General features: G+C 44.2%; 1 protein-coding gene across 3 annotated transcripts in view, besides 2 other annotated features; it reads left to right on the top strand.

Moving 5' to 3' along the window:
• Positions 1,074-1,575: an enhancer, noted in NCBI's record as "H3K4me1 hESC enhancer chr13:46189497-46189998 (GRCh37/hg19 assembly coordinates)". NCBI's record gives its function as "activates a minimal SCP1, AML or CMV promoter by ChIP-STARR-seq in primed H9 embryonic stem cells {active_cell/tissue: H9 hESC(primed)}" and the evidence as "EXISTENCE:reporter gene assay evidence [ECO:0000049][PMID:30033119]".
• ERICH6B (glutamate rich 6B) overlaps positions 1,198-25,987 on the top strand; it is a 74,446-nt gene continuing 49,656 nt past the window's right edge. For 2 of the 3 annotated variants that reach the window (XM_017020418.2, XM_011534965.3), the window contains exons 1-2: positions 1,199-1,252; positions 19,874-20,568. In XM_017020418.2, the coding sequence (XP_016875907.1) occupies positions 19,932-20,568 (637 nt within the window). In that variant the 5' untranslated portion in view covers positions 1,199-1,252; positions 19,874-19,931. Of the gene's footprint in view, positions 1,253-9,321; positions 9,374-19,873; positions 20,569-25,987 lie in introns of all 3 variants that reach the window. The other variant, NM_182542.3, reaches the window with a different exon arrangement.
• Positions 23,940-23,999: a silencer, noted in NCBI's record as "silent region_5318". NCBI's record gives its function as "represses an Ori minimal core promoter by ATAC-STARR-seq in GM12878 lymphoblastoid cells {active_cell/tissue: GM12878}" and the evidence as "EXISTENCE:reporter gene assay evidence [ECO:0000049][PMID:35858748]".

Here is a 25,987-nt window from a genome sequence, read left to right as displayed (position 1 = left end):
CTAGAACCAGAAATACCATTTGACCCAGCAATCCCATTACTGCGCATATACTCAAAGGATTATAAATCATGCTGCTGTAAAGACGCATGCACACGTATGTTTATTGCAGCACTATCCACAACAGCAAACACTTGAACCAACCCAAATGCCCATCAATGATAGACTGGATAAAGAAAATGTGGCACATATACACCACGGAATACTATGCAGCCATAAAAAAGAATGAGTTCATGTCCTTTGCAGGGACATGGATGAAGCTGGAAACCATCATTCTCAGCAAACTAACACAGGAACAGAGAACCAAACACCACATGTTCTCACTCATAAGTGGGAGTTGAACAATGAGATCATATGGGCACAGGGAGGGGAACATCACACACTGGGGCCTATCGGGGGCGGGGGGGCAAGGGGAGAGATTACATTAGGAGAAATACGTAATGTAGATGACGAGCTGATGGGTACAGCAAAACACCATGGCACGTGTATACCTATGTAACAAACCTGCACGTTCTGCACATGTATCCCAGAACTTAAAGTATAATGAGAAGAAAAAGAAAAGGAAAGAAAAGGAAGGGCAAATTGCAAGCACTTCAAAGACTGAGGTCCTTCTGAAACCTCTGTGACAACTGACCAGGAATGCCTACATAGAAGTGGTTTGCAACCCAGCCTCCCACCCCACCTGACCATTCTGCCACTCCTGCAAGTCCACTCACAGTGGCCAGGGCATGGGAACTCAGCTTTCTCCAACCCTTGGCCCCAGATCAACCCCTTGTGGGTCTCTCTATCCCTTTCAGGGCAGTTCCTTTCCTGGGGACCAGCTCCAGTGAGCCCATTCAGGGCCTTGAGAGCCACATGTCCCATCTCTTCATCTACGCAGCCACCACAAGCTTAGCACTGGACCCCAGGATTCTAGAAAGTCCCAGCCTGGAGGTCTGACGTGTACTGTCTCCATTCAGGGAAACACAATCCCCACGGCTGCAACTTCCCCCTGACACAGGCGACCTTCAGGCAGACAGCAGGAAAACTTTCTGGCCGCCGCTGACGACTGGTCCAAACAGTTCCCCGCCAGGAGAGAGGCTGGGAAAGGGAAGGCAAGGGCAGGTGCAGAGGCTTAGAATTCTCCGCCACGCACACACGCAGATTAGATGGGGCCCAGGGAGGCTGCGGAGTGCGGTTCCCATGGTAACCGAGAGCTGCCACAAACGCCGGGGCCTGAGATCGCGGTGGATGCACGCGCGGGAGCCTGGCTTGGGTAAGGGCTGCGCACGTTAGCAATGCGCTCCTCCTCCTCTTTCTCCTCCGCCTCCCTCTCCACCCACTCTCCTCCTCCTCTTCCCCCTCCTTCTCTGAGGGAGAAAGCAGGGAGCAGAGTGGAGGATCTGGGCAACAAAGAAGCGCCAAGTACATAGACTTCTTTGTTTCTCTCGCCCTTTCTCGGCCTCTCTATTCCCTTGGCCTTTCTGACATCTGCTTCGACCCAGCTTCTTCCCATTGTGAAGGCCGTTGTTGGGTCATGATATTTCTACAAATAAAGGATAAGGGGTCACTTTCTCTCCAGAGAGCCCCTAGCTCTGGGGGGAAGTGCGAGTGTGGATACTATGACTTCTTCCTTGACAGCCTGAATATAGACCAGTCCCCCAACCAGGAACAAATTCCCCAGATCGAAAACTCCAGCCTTGCCCACGAAGCGACTCCTGTGGCCCAAAGGCAAGTCACTCAGCTTCCCCTGTTTCCTTCCCCTACCTCTCTAATGTGGGGGGTAAACAGCAGTCCTAACTGGCCTTCCAGGGAGATGTGAGCAGTGACCAAGGTCAGTGTTTTTACAAGTGTTCTGTTCCAAGTGATGGCTCAAAGTCACCCTCCTTGAAAGTTCAAACCTGAATATATTCGAAATTCTATTTATAAAAAAGGTCCTAGGAAATGATGTTGTAATGAGTGCACTGGGTGTCTATAGTGCTAAACACTGCACTGATTGGTCTAAGGGGGTTGCCAGAACATTTTGATTTCATGTTTGCCCCCTGGCATGTTTTAATGTAGATCCAGATCAGCCCAGGCCTGGCACCATGGAATTCACAGAAGTAGGTCATCAGTTGTTCCCCTCATGGGGGAGAGCAGCAGACTTCAGCCAAGAATCACACAAGTTAATGAACAAGGTTATAAACAGCTATGGTAGATGATAACAGCAACAAGAACACATTACGTTTGCAGAGCACCATGGAATCCTTGGAGTCCTTTACAGAAATGAGGCTTCTCACCTTGATCCATCTAGGGTTTCCAAGCATCGGCTGGGAGAAGCCCAGTGAAAGCCAAGGGTCACCCACTCCATCTTCTTCACCAGCTCCCAGCTTGCTGTCTTAGCCCACCCATAACTCATCTCTTGAGTTTCCCCCATAGCAGGAGGGAAAGTGAAGTGATGGGGGCTGAAAAGTCCAAACCAGAAATTTCATTTGTGGTCAGCCTCCTGTGTGCCTCTCCTTCCGTTGGATCATCCATTCGATCCACATCCTTCTGTTGAAATCCTGCTACGTGCCTGACATGGTGCCGGGCTACAGTCTCATGGGTGAGGCAGACACACAAACCAGGGAGAAGTGCAATAGGAGAAAGGCAGTGAGAGAGCAGTCAGGAAAAGAGAGACTCTTTCTGGAAGAGCTTGTGTGTCTTCCCAGACGAGGTGACTTTGGGTTGGGTTTTAATGAGTGAATAAACTTGCTATAAAGTGATAAGGAAATTCAAAAGAAAGGGTGGGACTCCAGATAAAATCCCACTCTGGAGGAGCCGTCAGAAATATGTACTGGATCCTGCAGAGAAAAAAGAGGGCCCGTTAATATATTGAGGTCTCTGGTTGGAAGGGACACATACAACTGTCTACCGAAGCTCAAGGCTTCTCTTGCACCAGCAGACAGGGTGAAGCCCTGTCCTCCCATTTCTCCTGTTGGAGATGGGGCTGATGTATCCTGCTAAGACAGACCCTGGCAGCAAATTCCTCAGCCCTTCCAGACCTCAGCCAAGAATCTGTATCCATGAGTCCCCCAGCCCAACACCGATTGGTCTCCTCCTAGACCTTAGTGGTTTACCGGCCTCTTCACTTGTGTTGTATAACTAAAAAAGTCTTTGTATAGAAACATTTGCCTATGTTCTTGCTATCCCACTAAAAAAAGCAAGTGTGAGTTTAATAACACAGCTTATTCTGTGTTTCATATTTAATCCCTCCAAACTCCAAATGTGGAACCAGGCATCTGTGCCCTCTCAGACTGATGCTTTCTAGAAGAAAGGGGTTGGTTAGGCAGCACACCCCAAGTCCCAAGCCTGCCTCTCAGCTCTATATCCATAGAAGATCCCCAGTCCAGTTTTGACTGGTGGTTGTGATAAACTTCAGCTTTATGTTAGTTCACCGCTTCAAGTAATGCTTTTGGAGCATGACTATATGTGTGTGAGCATGACTATATTCTGCACTTAGCCGTGACCATCGGCTGAGTGCCCTGGGAGCTACACCTGATCATGTTCATGGACACAATCAACAAAATAAACACTGTCAATATTCCTCACCCAGGCCTAATTTTCTGAACCCCTGACAAAAGCTGGAGCTTGCAGCCCTAATCAAACCAGTCTGTACAACCAGCTTTTCTACAGGGTCTCCGAGGTTTATGGAGGCACCAAGGAGAGATTCAGGTACAGTTCCCAGGTACTATTAGGAAGCTGGTCCACAACCCACCAGTTCCCAGAACTCTGTAGCCTTTTGGCTGTGGATATTTTTTTCATTAGGAGGGGCTCACTGCCACAAGGGTACCCCGCTCTTTGAACAAGGACATAGGTACATATGTCCAACATAGGATAACATGTCTACCAAGGTCAACCATTCTCTATCCTGCAAAATTCCTAACTCCTGGAAACTTGCAAACTCCTGACACCATCCTGGACTCTGTGGTATGTGCAAATGAGCTCTTTTGCCTGGGTGTCTGAAGAGTCCAGTCTTCACATTGAGGATGGCCTCTACGTGACCTGGGAAATTATGCTTGGAAGAAATCCCTGAGCAGTCAAAACCCGAAAGTCCCTTTGCTCCTGGTCTTACAAGCCTTCCCAATGACTAAGTGGGGCAATTTCAGGTCATAAAAGATGCCCTTCCTCTCTGATTCTATGCCTCCCTGATCCCCCATTGAAATCTAGAATGCTTGCTGCTTCTGTAGTCTGTCATGTGAAAACACAGACCCTCTAGCCAAGGCAGCTGCCCTTGATTCTTTAGGGAGGTCAGCAGCGGGAGGAAGAGCCCTGCTGGCTAGGCAGGTAGGAGGGAGGAGAAAAGGCTGTCACATGGGGCATTAACAGCATAGGCTCCTTCCATAAATAAGCTCCCCTGGAACATCCTCTGGCTAGCTTTTAATTAAGTGGGGACTGCCCAATTCTCTCATGGGCCCCATACCCCAGGGGCCAGAGGTAGTGCTGGCATCTGCTAGCTCCCCATCATCTCCCCTTACAGATGATTTCTTTTCCAACTCCTGTTAAAACTCTCCTCTTTTCTCATTCATTACATAATCATACTATGTTGTATTTTAGTTTATTTTCCTGTCTTTCTGCTTAAGCAAGAAGCTTTCTTGAAGACTATCTATAGGTATGCCTTATGCAACCTTGTGGCCCCAGTGCCTGACACAGTGTCTGGGACATTAAAGAAGTCCTCAATAAATGTTTATGGAAGGAAAGAGGGAAAGAAGAAAGAGAAAAAGGAGAGGAGGGAGACTTGGAAGCTTATCATTTTCAGAAGCACATTGGATAAGGTCTGGTGAATACACTAAATGATAATATCAGGACTCACCAATATTTGGGCAGCCTAGAGGGGTAAGGCAAAACCTGCAAGATGAAATGTAACATCAATCCATGTAAATACCTGTATCTGGTTCAAAAAATAAGTAGAAGTTTAGCACAGAAGAAAAAACAGATAAAGAACATAAAAGCTACCTTCAAATATTTGCAGCTCACTGTGAAGCAAGTTGGACTATGTAGCTTCAGGGAACAGACCTCAGAAGGCTTGCTGGAAACCCAAGAGAAGATTTAGCAGCAGAAGTGTGTGCCATTCGATTCATGCTAAGTATAGTGCCTGGCACATGGAAATGGTGGCTGTGATTTTTGTTATCCTTATTATTACAGTGTCATGGTCATTATTTATTATTTATTAGATCTGCCCAATAGTCAGTCTCACGAGGCACTGAGCTCCCATCCTTGGAAAGCCAAGGTCATCACTGGGGAGCCACCTGTGTCTGGGGTCACCCCACCTGTGTGGGGTGTTTGTCAAGCTGATTCCTAACCCCTGGCCTCCCCTTTCCCCTAATCCTATGACTCTAAGAACAATGCCCTGTTTGTCATGGGTAGTGAAAGCTCTAGATGCAATTCCTGACTGAGGAAACTGTCTTTTCTATAAAGGTTTTGCACTCTTTGCATTAGTTGCACTGTGCTTCCCTCTTGCAATGCCACTGAAGCATCTCTTTGATGTTGAAAAACAAAATTGCTTTGTGTGAAAGCTTCTTTAATCTTATATAGATACAAATGCCTTGTATCTTTGGGGATATGCCAAATCACTCGGTATTTGAGAATTAATCTTATTAAAGAAAGCTCTGTTTAATCCCCACTGCTGTTTGCCAGAGATGTCAAATAATTCGACACCTGTTCCTACTGCCGCTTTACTGTGCACTCTTCCTGGATTTATTGTTAAGGAAAATGCATTGGCTTGATCGGGCTGGACAATGGGATTCTAGCATTCGGTTGGATGCTATAGCTATAGTAAAGTTGCTTTATAAGTATTACCTCAGTTTCTTAATTAGTTAAAGAAAAGGAAAGAAAAGTTAGGGGTAGGGGACACTTGCCTGTTGTGAAGAGTAACAAATGATATGATGAAATTGCTTCATTAACTATCCAACTCAACATGATTACTTATGGTAAAACATCAGTATTGCCAAGAAAAATGGGGTTCATATAAAGTAACTATTTGTTGTCTCTTCCCAAGCATATAGGAAACCCCTGTCCTTGATTAGACCTAGTCTGTAAAATATCTTTTGCATATAAATGTATATTATATATAAATATATATATACACACACACACACACACACACACAGTCCTGCCACATAACATTTCACTTGACAGACCGTGTATACAACAGTAGTCCCATAAGATTATAATACCATATTTTCACTCTTCCTTTTCTATGTTTAGATATGTTTAGATGCACAAATTCTTACCATTGTTACAATTGCCTACAGCATTCAGTACAGTAACATGCTGTCCAGCTTGTAGCATAGAAGCAATAGGCTACACCATATAGCAATAGACTGCACCATGTAGGTTTGTGTGAGCACACGCTGTGATGTTCACATTGTAACCACCTGACAGGTTCTTCCTGACTGCTGCACAAACAAAATCAATTCACAGAGACCATGGCACTGCAGTAAGAAAGAGTCTAATTGACGTGAGGCTGGCCACACCATGCAGGAGATGGAGTTATTACTCAAATCAATCTCCCTGAGCATTTGGAAGTTAGGGATTTTCAAAGATAGTTTGGGGAAAAGGGTTGGGGGTGGCTAGGCAAGGGGTTATTGCTGCTGATTGGTTAGGGGTGCAATCATAGGGGTATAAGAAATGGTTCTCCTGCTTGTTGAGTTACTTAATTCTTTTGAGTGGGCCACAGGAGTAGTTGGCGGGTCCAGGTGGAGCCATAGGTGTCAGACATGAAAAAAACCTGAAAAAGACATCTCAAAAGGCCAATCTTAGGTTCTACAATAGTGATGTTGTCTGCAGGAGTGATTGAAGTTGCATATCTTGTGACCTCCAGAATAATGGCTGGCAATCATTTATGTCTACGCCTTAGCAGAATTCAGCCTCCTCTCTCCTCCTGGCCTGGTGGTCTCTCATTAGCTTTACAAAGGTGGTTGAGTTTGGGGAAGGGCTATTATCATTTCAACTATAAATTAAATGTCTCCTAAAGTTAGTTGGCCTAAGCCCAGGAATTTTTATGAGCATCTTGAAGGCCAAAGGCAAGACGAAGGTTGGCCAGATCAGATCTCCTTCACTCCCATGATTTTCTCACTGTTATAATTTTTGCAAAGGTGGTTTCAACACAATGGCAAAATTGCCTAATGATGCAGTTTCTCAGAGCGTATCCCCATCATTAAGTGATGTATGATTACATAAAAATGTCAGTCAAAATGAACTCACTGGCTCCCTTTCTCCCAATTCACTTCTGGATCTTCTCAGGAGCTATCAGTGAACAATCCAAACACACAACCATATGAGATAATCACTCAGTTACTAATTTTGTCAATTATTTGTCGAGCTCCTATCAAATGCCAGGCACTATTCTAGCTGGTGGGAATACAATGGTGAACAAGAAAGCAAAGTTCCTACTCTCAAATCTACAGACCAAAGAACATGGTATGTTCAGGAGTAACAAATATTATGAGGAAACTAAAACAACATGATAATACATGTAGTGATTGGAGGTGAGGGTCAGGGGTGGCAGTTTTAGAAAGCCTTGCTGGAGAGATGACATTGGAGGAGAAACTTGAGAATGAGCCAGGTGTTGGAAGATCTTCAAATGGATGAAGAACTTTTCAGACAGTGGGAAGGGCAAGTGGAAGCATCCTGAGGTGAGAACAGGCTGCAGCAAGGGAAGGAGGATTTCCAGAAGGGCAGGAGAGGATGTGGGGCCAACTTGGGTCGGCCCAGGAGGGCTTTCAAAGGGAAGTGGAAGCCACTGGAGGATGGCTGGGAGCAACATAGAAGCAGTGGAGCAATGTGGTCTATTTTATGTTTTTAAAAGCCACCTCTGAAGAATGGATTATTGGAAAGCAAGAGCCAAAGCAGAAAGACTGCCATAGAAAATGCTGGATTTGACGATGGTGATGGCAGTGGTGGTAGCAGGAAGAACGGATTCAGGACATTTTGTGGGAGGTGGTGCAAGAGGACTTACGGATTGATTCGTGGGTTTGGGAGGATGAAAAAGAGGAATCATGGGTGACTCCAAGCTTCTTCATCTGAGCACTCAGGGAATTATACCAGAGGTTCCCAAACTTTCTCCGTTCAGGGCACCCTCAACGTCTCAGTGAATTTTTCACGGTGCCCACAGGCCAAAAGAAATCCCTAAAGGTTTCATGTATTGAATCGTTACATCCGAATAACTTAATGAATATCTCATCCTTGTGTCACATATTTATGTCACAATTTAATACACAGAAATTGAAGGAAAAAATAATGCTTTTATTTCCTTCTTAAATAGCCACTGCAGGGGAGAAAGCGTAATTTATTTTCTTTCCCTTTTTAGGTTCTTAGTGGAGACACTCTCCTGAAAACAAAAGTCAGATTAACAAAAAACATGCAAAAATGTATGAATGCTTGCTGTACCCATCATACAGGAGAGGACTCAGTTCAAAAGTATTTCTCTCTCAAGGCAGTGGCTTAGGGATCTTGATTAAATAGTATTTTAACAAAGAGCCATAAATACCATGTAGTGACAAGACAAAGAAAAGAGCAGTTCCAGTCTATTAAAAAGCAGGAAAGTGTGTGGGAACAGAGTAAAATCTGTTCCCAGATTCCTCTGGTGTCTGCTGCTGCCTTCTCTGGGCCAATAAGCAAATGCCATCTCCAATAAGGCAGGATTTTTGTGCTGCCATCAAGCAAACAGAGGCTGAGGCCGAGTGTTCCCCTGCATTTTCAGTGCCTTTAACTTAACAATTCTCAGTATTTTGGAGGAAAATATTTTTATTTCCTCCCCACAATGACTTACTAATGAATCGTGTGTACCCATTGGGCATTGCACAACTTCCCAAATCTTGGAATCAATGGGACGTGGCCACCCTCATTTCCTGTTCCATACTAATTTTGGGGTGGTGCTTGATTTTTATCTCAACAACTGCCACATGCCCAGCTTTGCAAAATATGCCATAATTGAAAGGAATGTAGCATAATCTAAAGTTAGTTGATGTCCAACAGATGTCAAGTATCACTGTTTCCCTCAAAAATTTAAACTATACTGTGGCGTCCCTGTGAGTTCTCTGCAGTGCCCAGGGAGCCTTGGCGCACAGATTGGTGATGCCATTCAGGGGTGGCGGTGGGGTTGGCAGAAGAGGCACACCGTAAGCAAGGGCTGCTTTGGTTTGATTTGCTGTTGGACATTCAATGAAAGCTACTGACCAAGGAACTTTAAGGAAGAAACATACCACAAAACTAAATTCATCCAATGTTAGTAAAGAAAAAAATCTATTTTCCAGCATTACTAAGAAATATGTTTTTCTCTGCCCAACTTCCTGGATAACTAACCAGAAAACATTTTTCCTTCAGCTGTTATTGTTGAAAACTCTCTTGGCTTGGACTCAGTTTACCCCCTGACATTGTAAGTACTCAGCCAGGAGCCTGACTGGGCTCCATTGTCCCATGTCTTGAAGATTACACAGTCATGATTTCAAGTAATTCTTATTGTCCTCCCTGTTAGCCACTCCGTGATCCTAGAAACAGCCATGTCAAAATAGACCTCCATGAAGTGGATTTTATTTTCCTACAGAAACAGCATTTTCAATGCATTGCATTTCTCATTATGAACAGGGCATTCAATAAATTCTAGATGATACCACCAGTAGGGCTTCCAAAGAAATGTTCTTGCAGGGTTAAAGTCTCTTATCTGCAAGCTCTGAAATACAAAAAGTTCTGAGAACTGAGTCCTCCTGATAAGTTTGTGACACTCATTTTTCCACAAAACCTGACCTTCCAGAACTCCATTGGGAGTAAAATCCAACCTAAATGGAAGTGGGACTAAAAGCTTTTCTTTATCCCACTTATTGTAAAAGTTTACATGTTTGCTGCAGAAATACTAAGACTCACCACAGCGTGCTTCCCCAGAGCCCTCTGGGGTTGTTTTTTTATCTACAATGTAATTGATATATCTAAATTCCACAGCACAACTGGCCGCAAGGATTTTGAACAAGGGATAGTTAGTCTCAGAAACACAGGGTAGAAAGGAACCTACGGATCTTCTAGGTCAATCTATTAATTGCCTGGAGATATGTGGCAGAAGCAGCAAACATGTTCAGAATCATATACTTTTTAGGCGAGGTGCAGTGGCTCACGCCTGTAATACCAGCACTTTTGGAGGCTGAGGTGGACGGATCACCTGAGGTCAGGAGCTCGAGACCAGGCTGGCCAATATGGTGAAACCCCGTCTCTACTAAAAATACAAAAATTAGACACGCATGGTGATGGGCACCTGTAGTCCCAGCTACTTGGGAGGCTGAAGCAGGAGAATCGCTTGAACCTGGGAGTCAGAGGTTGCAGTGAGCCGAGATTACACCACTGCACTCTGGCCTGGGTGACAAAGTGAGACTCTGTCTCCAAAAAAAAAAAAAAAAAAAAAAATATATATATATATATATATATATATATATATATATATATATACACATACACTTTTGGGATCTCAGCCAAGAAGACAGTGCAATTTCTCTTGCCACCAGCTGCCCACCACCCCGCGAGGCAGCCTAAACATGGCTCATAATTGCTGAAACCCTGGCATCTCAGCACAGTTAGTGGGTAGAAAGGTATTTTTCACACACCCCAAAAATACCATTCTTCTGAGATCTGAAATTAAATATGACATCTGTTATAACAATTATCAATAATTCTGCTTTGTTGCTGATAATTGTGACTATTTAAGAGAGGTTAATTGAAAGGTTCTTTATCTGACTTGAAAATTAGTGCAGTCAACTTGTAACTGCGGATGTCTTTTCATCTCAGTGAATTTCATTTTAGCAAGTAGGAACTCTAAATATTATTTCTTCGTTCTTTTAAATAATTTTCATGAAAGCTTTTAAATATTTGAAGGAATCCCTAAGAACTTGAGTTATAAAGATTGGAAAGAAGACATATGTCGCTTATCTCCTCTTTCGTGGTATTTAGACTTTGGAATGAGACAGACATTGAATATCAAATATGGCACTACATAGCTATGGCCTCAGACCAGCTCACTGCCCTGGTTCTTAGTTGGTTAATAGGATAATTATACTTTGCCAGATTGTGTTCAATCTTTAAAGGAAAAAGGAAAAGAAAAGGAAAATACCTTTTTCTGTTCTAGGCACATAGTAAGTGCTCAGCAAATGACAGAAACCCAACTTCTCCCTCCTCCTCTTCTCCCCCTCTTTACTTTCTTTATCACGGAGAATTATTGTTTAACCAGAGCTTGTGAAAGAGGCTGTGAGAGAGCTAAAGCCAGTGTGCAGGGGGAGACCCCTAAGAAGGTTCCCTGAGGAGGGCTCTCCTCCAAAACACACATGACATTTGGCACTGGGGAAAGAACATTGCCCTCAGCAAGAGCAGACCTAGGTCCAGATCTTAGTCTGGCCACTTAGGACTTGCCTGACCTTGGTGGAGTTATTTGATTTCTCTGAACCTTAGTGCTGTCATCTATAAGATGGAGATGATAGTGTTTACCGCATAAGGCTGCAATGATGAATCCATTAAACAGGGCCCACGAAAGCACTTTGCAGCACAAAGCATTATACAAACAGCTAAAGCATAGAGAAGAAGCGGGACCATACTCCAGTCTGGAAACAGAAGAACCTTTTCCTAATTTAGATAAAAGGAGAAGAAAAAGCAGACGTCGCAAATTACAGCCCAGTCCATGTGATATTGATGCTGGGCAGAATTCTAGAACATTTCACTTGGGACAGGGTACAGGCAGCAGGGCTCCCTGGAGAGTGAGGTGGGGGCACTGCACCTCTCTGACCACCCTTAGAGATGGGAGGACACCTTGAGTGGGTTGGGAGTCAGGGAACCAAAGAGGAGGGGCTTCAGGAAGTTGAGGGGGAGGGGCCTCGGGAGAAAAGTGGGAGTGGCCTCAGGGATTCCAGGGGCCGGGTCTCAGGGAGCACGCTGGGAAGAGCTTTAGAGAGTGGAGACTAAAGGGCCTCAAAAGCTTGGCCCAGCCAGCAGCCTGTAGAAAGAGCTGCTTTCATCCAAACCTTCTTGGATTTGGTTTGTTTTGTTTTGTTCTTTTGAGACAGGGTCTCGAAACCAGCACAGTGGCTGATCTCAACTCACTGTAGTTTGACCTCCTGGGTTCAAGTGATCCTCCCATCTCAGCCTCCCACGTGAGCTAGGATCACAGGTGCACACCACCATGCCCGGCTAATTTTTTAGGTTTTTTTTAGAGATAGGGTCTTACTGTGGTAGCTAGGCTTCTTCTTGGTGTTTTGTTTGTTTGTTTGTTTGTTTTTTCCAGCCAAAAATGTTTGTAGTAAGATTTTCTTCCTCCCACCTTTGGACTATTTTTGATGCTCAGGTAGAAAACAATTTTTTCTTTCAAACAACTTTTTTTTCACACCTGTAAATGAAGACTGTAAACTCTTCTGTTTCCCCTGAAAGTTGATTTTCCTTACCTATGAAGTGAGGGTGATGATGCCCACATCAGGGCTTGCTGTGAGGGTGGAGGGGCCAGAGTTCTGGCCACACAGAACCTTAGCTCCCCTCCCCACAGCCTCCCCTGACGGATGGATGGAGATGGGCAGCATGAGGGGCTTCTGCCGCAGCATCCCCGGGGCTTTCTGGTTGGACATTTGTATCAGTGGTTTGGATGAGGATACAGATAAGACTAAGCTGGGAGGAACTGGAAACGGCTAGCAGTCAATGAAAAATTATTTGGATGAGCCAAAGAAAATGTAACGTCCTGGTTAGAGGGGCAGGAGCCCCCTTCCCCTTTTGGAGTGGGTGCTCCAAACATCCTCACAGAGTCAGCAGAGTTCCCTCTTCTCAGATACACCGCACTGCACTGTGAGAGATGATCACAAGTGTGCCCCTGTCTCCATGTGTCTGGGCCTGGGCTCGACTTCTCTTCTGGGCCACCTGTGTAGAGAGCTCTTGGCCCACAACAGTGCATCTGGGGAGAAGACCCCAGAAACCTCACCATCCACAGAAGGGTGGAAGGAATGGGAAAGGGAGGGGTCTGTATTCACACATTCACTCAACACACATCGTACCCGCTGTGTGCTGGCCAGGGCCCTAGGCCCTTGGGCTACACCAGTAAATCAAACCAAGATCCCTGCTCCCAGGGAACTTACTTTGTAATGAGATGAGCAAGACAGCACACACCACAAATGAATAAGGTACTTGGTACATTAGATGGTGAGAGGTGCTCTGGGGACAAAGGGGAAAGGATGGCAGGTTAAGGGACATGGAAAGTGCTAGGAACGGGCAGGGGAGGACCCAGGGCAGTGGGGCATGCCTCACTGAGGCACTGGGAAAGGGGGTGACAGAGGGAGCAGGACTGTGGCAGAGATCTGGGGACAGGACCCAGGCACAGGGAGAGTAAAGGCCTTAACCAGAAATAATGCCCTGACCAGCACCTGGCATGTTAGGAAAGACCAGCAGGTCTAGGACCAGCAGGGCAGGAGCCAAGGGAGGCAGGGGGAGAAGAGTCGGGAGGACATTGCAGGCACTGAAAGGGCTTTGGCTTCATCTGGGAGAGGGGAGCTATCACAGGGAAGTGAGGGGTCCGCCCCACATCTTCAAAGCCAGCGACTCTGTGAAGAATAGACCTGTTAAGGTGTGTGATTGTTAATTTTATGTGTTAATTTGACTGAACTAAGGGAGGCTCATTATTTCTGGGTGTGGCTGTGAGGGTGTTTCTGGAAGAGATTAGCACTGGAACTGGTGGAGTAGGTAAAGAAGATCATCTTCACCAATGTGGGTGGGCATTGTCCAAGCCACTGAGGGCCCAGCTACAAGAAAAACATGGAGGAAGGGACAATTTTTTTCTCATTCTTCTTGGTCTGGGACATCCATCTTCTCCTGCCCTAGGACCTTGGAAGTCCTGGTTCACAGGCCTTCAGACTCCAGGACTTACACTAGGGGCCCCCCTCCTCCATGTCTTAAGCCTCCAGCCTTGGACTGAATTACACCACCAGCTTTCCTGATTCTCCAGCTTGCAGATGGCAGATGGTGGGGCTTCTCGGCCTCCAAAATTGTGTGAGCCAATTCCCATAATAAATATCCACTTACATTTCTATATATATCCCACTGGTTCTGTTTCTCTGGAGAACCCTGAATGGTATAGAAGGTAATTGCAATAATGCAGGCAAGATGTGTGTGTGGCTCAGAGCAGGGTGGGAAAATGGAGGGATGAGAAGAGATGAGATCCTTTGAAGAAGGAGCCAGACTGCTCTCCTGGTGGATATGAGGTTGGGTGAGAATGAAAGAGAAGAGTCTTAGTCCAAGGGCTGAGAGGTCTGGGGAGGAAGACTAGGATCCCAGTTTAGGCACAGTGAGTTTGAGACGTCTGTTAGACATCCCAGCAGAGATGCCAAGAAGGCTGTTGGAGTTGAGCCTGGAGTCCTGGAGGAAAGTCTAATTGCTACCTTCAAACCCTTAAAAGGCTGTCATGTAGAACTCTTCATCCTGGCTCCCCCAGGACTGAAAAAGGCCAGTGATGAGTGGAAGTCAAACCAAGAAGACTGATTCAATCCGAGGACTTCTGGACTGCAGCTGTCTGGAAATTGAATGATGAGCTTTATAAAGCACAGGCTATCTTACATTTATAGATAACAACTTCCTGAAAGCATGGCTGAGAGTCAGAAAATGTGCTGACACATTGTGAGGGCAGTTCTCTCTGGGCAAACAAAGCATCACCAAGAAAATCCCTCAAGTCAGGCCGCTTTCCCAGGCAGAGGTACCAGCCTCCTGAGGAAAAGGGAGCTCAACTCCAGCACTGCCCCAGAACCATCATTTCTCCTGGGACCCAGCCACTAGGACCCAGAATGAAGGACAGACGGACCCCAATCTCTAAACTTCTCAGCTGGGCTGCAGACAGTCCTTGGAGCAGGGTAGTTGGAAAGCAAATCTCTTTTTTCTCTCCCCATGGCATGAACTGATTAAGGCCTCAGAAGGACCCACAACACACATTCACACACATAGACGTTTACACACACGCACCTTCAGAGCTGGTTAGGAATAAGTGTGCAATAATAACAGTGCCTGACACTCCTTATGCCTGTACACACTGCCTCATTGCATCCTTCCAGGAGATAGGTCCTGTTGTTCTCAAATGGGTCATGGTCTGAATCACAAGTTGGAGCCAGGATGTTTGCCCCAGACACTGGGTATCAAGTTGCCATTACTATTTATTCCACCTGTAGGCTTGTCTTACAAATTTCTAAGAGAATTAAAGGGAGAGTGTCTGGAATGCAGTTTCTTTTTCTGATCTTTGAAATGAGAATGCAGCTGACTGGACCCTTTTTACAAGGCCTGATGAGAAAATAGGAAGAAAAGACCCGTCACCCGGAATGATGGCATGCCATTGACAAATGCTCCTCTGGGCTATCCAGGGGACCGGCTGATTTTGATCTCTTAAGCAGCTACAAAAATATGAGAGGTAGGGAGCCCTGAAGTGTAAGCCTTTGATGGAGTGGCCAGTGCCTGTGTGTGCTCCTCACCTCTCCCAGGGGAGGGCTGGACAGACTGGCTGTCAAAGAAAAGCAAAGCTGGACAGCAATCAAAGCAGTAAAATATATACATTTTAAAATTGCTTAAAAATAGGCTGCCACTGTGTTCCCAAGGCTCGTCTTGAACTCCTAAGTTCAAGTGATCCTTCCCGCTTCAGCCTCCCAAGTAGCTGGTACTATCAGTGCGCACCACCATGCCCCACAGTAAAAATATATTTTACTCATGAACTATTGCAACAGGAGAAAAGAGATCCCAGTATAGAACTGGACTCAATTCTGAATACAGCATGGGCAAATGGAAATTTACAGCCAAGGACAGAGTGGGGAATCAACGGATAGGAAATTAACTCAGAGGAAACATCAAGGCATCGTCAGGGTAGATGGGAAATTAACAAGAAACATCAGGGGTAAGGGAGATTCAGGCTAAACCAGCCTGACAGAATTCTTGATGAAGGCAGGCCTGGGGCATGGGGAGGATGAGAAATCTGATCAGGTAACAAGGATGGTCATATATGGAGGATGGGGCAGGATTTTTGCTAAATTGACTTAGCAGGCTTCTTGCTAAAACTGGACTTATAGAACTACCATTTAATCCAGCAATTCCACTCCTGGGTATCAACCCAGAGGAAAAGAAATCATTACATCAAAAAGATACCTGCAACTGTATGTTTATCATAGCAGTATTCACAATAGCAAAGATATGGAATCAACCTAAGTGTCCACCAACGGATGATCAAAGAAAATGTGGCATATATACAAAATAGAATACTGTGCAGTCATAAAAGAATGAAATCGTGTCTTCCGCAACAACATGAATGGAACTGGAGACCATTGTCTGAACTGAAATAGGTCAGTCACAGAAAGACAAATACCACGTACTCTCACTTCTGAGTAGGCATACAGTGTGGAATAATAGACGATGGAGACTCAAAAGAGTAAGGGAGCAGAAGAGGAGTGGATGGTGAGAAATTATTATTACAAGAAATTACTTAATGAGTACAATGTATGCTATTTGGGTGCTGGAGACCCTAAAAACCGTGACTTTACTACACAATCTATGAATGTAACAAAATTACACTGGTACCCCATAAATTTTTACAAAATAAAAAAAAAATAAAATGAAACTGGATTTTACAAGGAAGTGCACAGATGAATCTGGGAGAAGGTTCAGGAGCCTGACTGGAGTTTGGTCAAGCAAAGAATTCTTGTCACCACTCTTCAATTGCTCTAGCCATCCCAGCTCTGTCTTAGGGTGAGGCAGCAGCAGCCAGTGGGAGTTAGAAGTAGACGGCAATAATAGGTGGTATGTTGAGGTTTTAGATAAATAAAGCTGAAGGGGCCTCCTTTACAATGGAAGAGGCGTCTGCAGACATAGCTGTGGTTGGGTCCCAAAGCTTTCCGTAGCTCACCCTTTGCCCCAAAGACAGTGTCCTCCACCATCAACTCATGTATTATTTATACCTCTCCTCCTCCAAAAAGCACTGGAGGCAGCCTACATGAAAAGACATTCATATACCACAGAACCATAAAATGAAGGATAAAAGGGCAAGCCAACTGCAGGCACAGCTTCCATTCTCCGCTGCTTCTTAACTGTCTGGCAAATGGCCACGGGAATCCTCTTGCTCCAGAGTTGCTTTAATCCTAACACTTTCACCGTCACCACTGTGAAGCAAAACTTATGGAAAGCCATCATTTTGGACTTGGCTCCTGCACTAGGTCCCAGTAGACAAGACCAAATCAGAATGGAGTCACTCATGCTAAGTGCCATATAATCAAACTGAAACTGTAAGGAAACAGATCCCAAAACAGCACACTTTTTCCTGAAAACAGGAGATTCCAGTCTACCTGAGTGAGAATAATAAGTAAGTCCTCTCTCTGCTTTAACCCTTACCAAAAAAAGTAACCTGAAGTAACCTAAGGTTAGCCAATACACTTTTTTTTGTTTGCTCTGTTTCTGTGTTCCCATCTCACAGAGCCCGCTGTTTTGCTACTGCCTGATGGGAGCTCTCATTCTGTTTGTAGAATGGTTCTATTCATGAATCATGAATAAAAACCAATTCAATTAATAACTAAATTTGTTGCAGTTTTCTCTTTTGATGCCACCCAACACAAAATGCTTCATGATGGGTTTTAAAACTCTCCACGCACAGGCTCCCCCTTTACTGCTACCATCTTTGTCATCTCTCCACACGGCCAACTTTCCCTGCCCCAGGCAGATCCGGTTACTCCCTACCCTCAGCCACTGACCTCTTAAGTGATCAGGCTACCAGTGAGGCCTTGTTTTTCTCTCCACCAACTCTTTCAGTCAATTATTTCCCAGATTTACATTTGGTGAAGCTATCACAAGGTAGGTTCTCTGGAAATAGACTCTAAAATGCAAACTGCTGAGATGCAACTGTTGAGATACAAAACGTTTCTTGGGGTCAGCCCCTGGAGGAAAAAGGGAGAGGAAGCAGGCTTGGGCCAGATGGAGATGGCACTTGTGGAGTAGGCTTGGTGAGCCTTGGTCAGCCTGCTAGAGAGCTCTGGGGTGAATGTAGCCTCTCAGAGGTGCGCTGCCTGGAGTTGACTGTGCTTTTCTATCTCCACCTTGCCTGGTCCTCAGATACCGGCTGTCCCAAGAATGACATCACTATCAGAAAGGGACTCTGCAGCTGAGACACATCCTGAAGGAGCTGGCAGCTGGGGGCCACCTGTTGACCACACTCCTCACCGCTGGGCGGCAAGTCCTTCTTTGAAAAGGGGATCTGGGCAGTGTACTTCTGTGTTCACTGCCCCAGGCTAACCCTATTGGAATCCAGCAATCCAAGGGCTCCAACAGTGATGTGGGTGGGTAAATGTGCCATTTGCCCATGATGAATGGCCTTGTCCATCACACCTCTCATCTTGGACTCATGCTGCATTTGCTAAAATTCATCCTGGTGGTCTCATCTGGCTGGTTCCCCAGAACAGAGTTTCCCACTCAGACAGCCAGAAAGAGGCAGGCCAAGATATGTATCTCTTAAGTCCCCAAAGCAAGCAGAAGGATTCTGGTCCGGTTGCCTCTTCAGTCTGTCCTGTCCTGCAGAATAAATGTCATTTTTAAACCTTCAGGGTGCACTGCTGTAGAGCCACCTCTTCTTGGCCCTTCATTCAGTCACTGGCCATATGTTTATTGAACATCTATTATGCACCAGGCTCCGAGCTAACCATCAGAGATACGGTGGGGAACAGATTATAGAAGGTCACTATCATTGAGACATTTACACCTAATGGAAGAAAAAAATTGAACAAGAACACACAGAAATGGACACATAAGTAGACACAATGATAAGTGCTGTAGGAGAGAGTAACAGGGTGGGGGCAGGGAAGGAAGGATGGGGATAGATAAGGCCAGAAAGACAGGCAGGCATGGAACGGAGGTGACATCATATTCTAAGCACAACAGAAAGCCACTGGGAGATTTTAAGCAAAGGAAATCCTGATTTGATTTATATTTTTATAAGAACACTCTTTGCAGCAAATGACTAGCAGAGCAGTGGCAGGGGTCTCAGGAAACCCAGTAATTCAGTCTAGAGATGGCATGTTCACCATGGGGAATCACAGTGGGCCACAGTGGAGAGGAGGAGGAGTGGAAGAATTCAAAATCTATTTTCAAAAAAGAATAACACTGACCCCACCCATCTTTAAGGAGCTTATACTGTTGGAAGAACAAACGTGCAAACAATTTAATATAGCAAAATAGTTACTTTAATAAAAAAAATATAGAGGACATGGATGGAGCAGAAGAGGGAGCCTGGAAGCCTTCCTGGAGGAGTCAAGATGCTCAGTGTTAAAACATATGTAGCATTTGCCTGGTGAGCTGAGGGCAGATGGTGCTGCGGGCAGGGCTGACAGTGCATGTGGTAGCCATGAGGACATGACCCACAGACTTCTGACCACAGGGGCCTTAACTGACCAGAAGCCCCAGCCACTGTGTCCGTCCTATGCTGTGGGAGCCCCTTCCATTGTGTTGGTCACTTGTGTTTAGTAATCTGTTTTTTGTGACTCCTTTCTCCCCAGATTTCAAGCTCCTGGAAGACAGTCTCTGTCTTATTTATTGTGGTAATAAATACTTAAGGAAAAATAAAAATCTTCTCTAGCAGTAGCACCACTAAACAATGATTGCTTTCCAGCCCTCCCCATTGACTTCATATTGTGCAATAATTTCAAAGGCCTGGTCTTTAGGTGTGGTCTCCCCACCCAGCTCTCTGAGGGTAAGCTTCCATTCCCTCTTCTTGTGCCTTTTTCACTGGCCTCTATGTACTGATCTGCATACTTAAAGAGCCCTCCAAAGACTACTGAATGAAATAAGTGAACAAAAATGGAATTAAATCAATATGCATTTGCTATTACTGGCTAATAGGATTTTATTCCTTTCTTGGATACAGGATAATAAAGTGACGTTGGCTGCTGCAGAAGGAGTTCACCACCTACGACTTCCCCAGCATGTCTGCTGAAAATAATCAGTTATCAGGAGCATCACCTCCTCACCCTCCCACAACTCCCCAATATTCCACACAGAACTTGCCTTCAGAGAAAGAGGATACTGAAGTAGAACTAGATGAGGAAAGTCTACAGGATGAATCTCCATTTTCTCCAGAGGGAGAGTCTCTGGAGGACAAAGAGTATCTGGAGGAGGAAGAGGATCTGGAAGAGGAAGAGTATCTGGGGAAAGAAGAATACTTGAAGGAGGAAGAGTATCTGGGGAAGGAAGAGCATCTGGAGGAGGAAGAGTATCTGGAGAAGGCAGGGTATCTGGAGGAGGAAGAGTATATTGAAGAGGAAGAGTATCTGGGGAAGGAAGGGTATCTGGAGGAGGAAGAGTACCTGGGGAAGGAAGAGCATCTGGAGGAGGAAGAGTATCTGGGGAAGGAAGGGTATCTGGAGAAGGAAGATTATATTGAGGAGGTAGATTATCTGGGGAAGAAAGCGTATCTGGAGGAGGAGGAGTATCTGGGGAAGAAATCATATCTAGAAGAGGAAAAGGCTCTGGAGAAGGAAGAGAATCTGGAGGAGGAAGAAGCTCTGGAGAAGGAAGAGAATCTGGATGGAAAAGAAAATCTGTATAAAAAGTATCTGAAAGGTGAGTATCTGGAGGAGGGAGAGCATCTATGGGAGGAAAAGTATCTGAAAGGGAAAGAAGGTTGGATGAAGAAGAGTATCTGGAAAGGGATGAGTATCTGGAGGAGGGCATCCCAAAGGATGGTAACTCTAGTTTACCAGGATGCCCAGGAAAAAAGCACAAACCTGACATAGAGCCAGAGCGCAAATTGTCAACTCTATCCATGGTGCTGACAGGGAGGAAGACTCATTTACTGACCAAGTTCTGCTCACAACTATAATACAATAGCCTTGCCCCAAAGCACTGCACCCACAAAGCAGGCAGGAAGACTTCATAAACATAAAGCACCTGCTTATAATAATAATTGTTATTTGTATCTTTCCTTTTTCATATTACACGAGTAATACATGTTCATTGCAAATGTTTTAGAAACTATATATAAGCAGGCCAGGAGCAGTGGCTCACACCTGCAATCCCAGCAGTTTGGGAGGCCAAGGCAAGAGGATTGTGTGAAGCCAGAAGTTTGAGACCAGCCTGGGCAACATAGCCACACCTCATCTCTACAAAAAAATTGTAAAATTTAGTCGGGTGTGGTGGCACACACCTGTGGTCCCAGCTACTCAAGAGGCTGAGATAGGAGGATCACTTGAGCCCAGGATTTTGAGCAGCCTGGGTAACAGAATGCTTATCTCTAAAAAAAAAAAAAAAAAGAGAGAGAAGAAGGAAAGAAAGAAAGAAACTATATATAAGCAAAAAGAAGACAGCAAAAATCACCACCACTTGACTATCAGATTTGATAATCACTTTCCACACTTTTGATTATATCTTCCCCAGACTTATTTTATATATATACACACACACATATATTTATATACACATATATATACACATACACACACACCTCTTTTATAAAAGGATCATGCTTTATATTGTGTTTGTAACCTGCTTTTAAAGATACACTTATTTATATATTTATATAAACACTGTATACTTATATGAATATCATTTAATATTATATACATTCAATATGCTATTAAGCTTTCTACAAATCATTTTAATGACTGCATCACATTGTGTTGTGTTGATAAGCTATAATATTTTTAATCAATCTCCTATTACTGACCATTTATTGCTTCCAATTTTTTGTTACTTTTTAAAAATGGCATTTTGGTGAACTGCTTTATCAGAGATCTCTATTTCCTGGAATACATTCCTACACTCTGTTGCTAGGTCAACAGACACTGGTATGCTTCTCAGGATACCCATTCGGCCCCCTTAAAGGAATCATTTTAGTCTGTGGGTAAGTATTTGACTTTGGAGTGATTTTTCTCATCCAAGGGCTAAATTTTTCCAACACTGTTTCAGCAACTGGCAGTACTTCCTCATGTTGGGTTTTATTATTTGGCAGCAGCCTCCTTGTGCTGTTTGCTAGCAGTGACTAATGTGCTTTTGCTCATATGCCCCTGCAGTGTCTTCTCTTGATGTCGTGACTGCATGGCCATATTCAACTAGGTACAGAAATGTAAAGGTTCAGGTCACCTACATCATCTTCATGCTGGCCTATAAGTAGAACTAAACTATTTTTCTGGATCCGGTTCTGCTACCAACTACAAGCATCCTAGGCAGCCTGAATTTTTGCATTCCTAAAAATCTGATTACACACAACCTACATCCTAAAAGCTGGGCATTCTCAGCAGCCACACAGACATTTTACCTTTATGTCCCTCTCCATCAAATCAGATGTACCATCCTTGATTCCTACTCCCTTCCTGGAAATTTAGTTGTTGCATTGGAGAGGTAATTCCACTACTGCTGGGAAACTCTCTTTTCTGTATGCCTACCATTAAGCTCTCTCTTGGAATCCTAATATCCCTGCTGTTCAAGTATCAAATGTAATTCTAATACTGAAAAATAGCATTCAGGGCTTTTTCTCTTGCACGGTATGAATCAAGCATTCTTAACATGTCCCCTCTATGTGCTGGATCTTTGAAAATATATTACCCACTAGAGTAGGACAAATACAATGCTGTCAAGCGAATGGAACTGTGTATAAAGCAAACACTTTGAAAATAAATGTCCTGCTAACAAAAATTGGAGAGGCACTGAAAAAACACTAGGGAGATGCTGAAATGCCTTTCAAGGCTCATGAAAGAATGTCTTGGTCTATGAAATTCTAGGGTTTCAAGATAGATTGTACAAAACAGGTTAAGAAAAAATGTATAAGAAATTTCTTAACTTTTCAAAAAAATATATCAATGTTTTTATGTAGAATAGTCTCCTAATACCCTTAAGATATAACTTTGTTTACCCTCGTGTTGAACCTCAGTGACTAACAAGAGTGCCTTCCTCACCTATAGCAGATGCTCAGTACATGTAAATTGAATCAAGTGATCATATTCACTAACTAGAGCCAGTCACACTCACATATACATGGGTGCACACAAATTTTTTTAACCTTATCCATTAATTGGCATCTATAAAATGAGCCCTAGATATGACAAATGGGCTTATCTCTCATGCTGATGCATTAACTACTTGAGGTTAGTAGTGGAAAACTATGTTGAGAAGAATTTTGAGGGATTGTCTGGGCTCAGCAGCAAAGAGTGCTGTGAGCAACTAGTGATGTCTGCCACAGGAGCAGAGAGTGAAGGGGGTGCCTGAGTGTCATTTATTTATCTACTTAATAGCAGGTAGGAGTCTGTCATGAAGAGCACATTTTCCTTTCTCTCAGGAGCTTGACTGCCTAGGTTTGAATGCCAGCTCTCTCCCTTTCACTAGTTGCATGAGCTTGGGCAAGTGACTTAACCTCTCCATGTCTTGGTTGTCTTCATTGTAAATAGGAACAGCATTAGACCTACCTCATAGGATGTGTGGGAGGATTAAAGGGATTTAATTGGGTAAATCATTAAGAAATATGCCAGACACATAGCATTTTAGGCCTAAGCAAGTGTTAGCCATTATAAGTATTATTATATTACATGATGTATTATTATTCCCTTGCCATTGACTTGTGCCTGGCCACACACCCCTAGCCACATTACCTGCTTTGTGAAATGGACATAACCAAAAGATGAGACACAATGAAACAGGCTGTGGGAGGGATCTGCACCCTCCACTCATCTACCCTATAGCGGTCAACTTCAGAGATTCCCATAGCCCTGGACAAATCAGGTTACATCAGACTAACAACCCCCACCCACCTCTCTTCCTTAAAGGGTTGATTCCCCCCAAAGTTTATGGGGAAATCCAGTAAAATTGGGTGAGCAACTTGAATATAAATGCAGCATCAATTGCCAGTGAATAATTGGTTGGTCGCATCTGACTGGCCTGCTGGGGGAGTTCAGATTTTGGATGCACAACATGGGTGTGAGTGCTGTGGTGTCCAAGTCAGAAAACCCAGCACACGGTGGAGTCTAGACCTTGGGCATGTCACTTACCATCTCTAGGTTTCAGTTTCCCCATGTGCAAAAACACCTTTCTCACAGTGGGTTGTAATAAGTAAATGAAGTAACATACCTGAAACTGCTTTGAAACTCCCCTGTACCACACAATTGTAAGGTATAAAATACTCTTCTAATCTTACAAGAAGAAAGGCAGTAGAGGAGCCTCCAGGCTACATTGCTCTCCTGCTGCCACAGAACATGCTGTAGAGTGAAACCACCCCATAATGAGACCCCCTTTTAGTTTTTTTAGTACCCAAGACATTCCTAATGATAAATTCTGCCCTGTGGCAAATAATGCTATAGAGATGTCACAATACATTGATTTTGATTCATCATGTTTTTGCCTAATCTTTTGATATACATAGTGCATCGAATTTTATTTTCTTTACCCTGCTAGATCCTCCTCGGCAGCTCCAAATGCCGTCTGGCCTAAATGCTGTAATTCAGTTGCCATTTCCAGTTGAGAGTTGGTGTCCCAACTACCATTTCCAACAGGGAACCTAGCAATTCTGGAAATTTCAGAAGAAAGGTGCAAGAGATACTAACAAGGCAGAGATGAGAAAGCCAGCCAACTTTTCATGAAAGGAAGTTCACCTCTGTGACCTTGAGTCAGCCACTGGTGGGTGGGGGAACGCTGAGCCCCAGAGCTGGTTTCTTCTGCCTCCAATGTGCTCCCAAAAGAACAGAATCATTTTCTGCACGTGTCTTGTCCCAGCGAAAGTTAGGGAACATAGTCTGATGGCATAGGGTACATATTGTCTATTTCACAATCTGTATCTCCTTTAATTGTCCCAACCATTATCTCTTCCTGCCCATTTCACAGATGAGCAACTTGGAGCTAGAAAGAGGGCATGTGACTACTCCAAAGTCACAGAAAATCATTAGAAGGGCCAGGACAGGCTCCCAAACTTTCTCTCCTCTTCTAGTCGCTTCTCCTCCTTTCCTCCCTTCCTTCCTCCTTTCATGCTTTGTTTCTGCTTTTTAATAAGTTGTGCACCTATTTTAATTTTAGAAAAGTGACATCAAAAAACGAATATCTTCTTGTTCCTTTTTTTAAAAAATGAAAAATTTGAACAGTAAAAAGTAGAAAGACATCCCCCAACCCACGAACATTCAAATATAAATAAAGCTAATTCACACATAAGTGATTTGTATTCTGTCTCTCTGCCGCCATTGTTTGCATTTTTGGTAGTGATGGTCCTTGTTGTGTGGTTTGGTTTTTACTGTTTTAAACATGCTGTCTATACAAGTTAGTACTTTACTTTTGTAACTTAGTATTATAACTTCACCATTTGCCCATGTTGCTTAATTTTTAGAGACATCATTTTATTTTTATTTATTTTATGTTTTTGAGATGGAGTCTTGCTCTGTCGCCCAGGCTGGAGTGCAGTGGTGCCATCTTGGCTCAGTGCAAGCTCCGCCTCCTGGGTTCACGCCATTCTCCTGACTCAGCCTCCCGAGTAGCTGGGACTACAGGCGCCTGCCACTACATCCAGCTAATTTTTTGTATTTTTAGTAGAGACAGCGTTTCACCACATTAGCCAGGATGGTCTCGATCTCCTGACCTTGTGATCCGCCCGCCTCAGCCTCCCACAGTGCTGGGATTACAGGCATGAGCCACCTCACCCAGCCGAGACATCATTTTAATAGCCAAGGGATGTTCCTCAATAATATTTTCTTGCATGGGTAAGCTACGGATAAGTGGAAGTGTTCACATTTCCCTTTCCAATTCAAATGTTCTGGTTCTCGTTTCTCTACTGCTTCCCCTGTTGCCATTTTGTATTATCAGAATTGTTGGCATAATTTATCCCAAGTCTACAAGAAATTCTTTATGCCATATCATTCAAGGCAAACAATCAGGTGATTACGTGACACAAGCAGGTCCTTTAAAATTAAAAATAATCCTTAAAATACATATATCCCCTGCACCTCAGTCACCTCTGCTGGACCGATGTCCTTCATCCCAATACAGAAGTAGGCTTCTGGGATAACCATAG

This window comes from Homo sapiens, chromosome 13 (assembly GCF_000001405.40).
Source record: "Homo sapiens chromosome 13, GRCh38.p14 Primary Assembly".
In the NCBI taxonomy this organism is placed as follows: Eukaryota; Metazoa; Chordata; class Mammalia; order Primates; family Hominidae; genus Homo; species Homo sapiens.
This window is presented reverse-complemented; position numbering and strand designations above follow the sequence as displayed.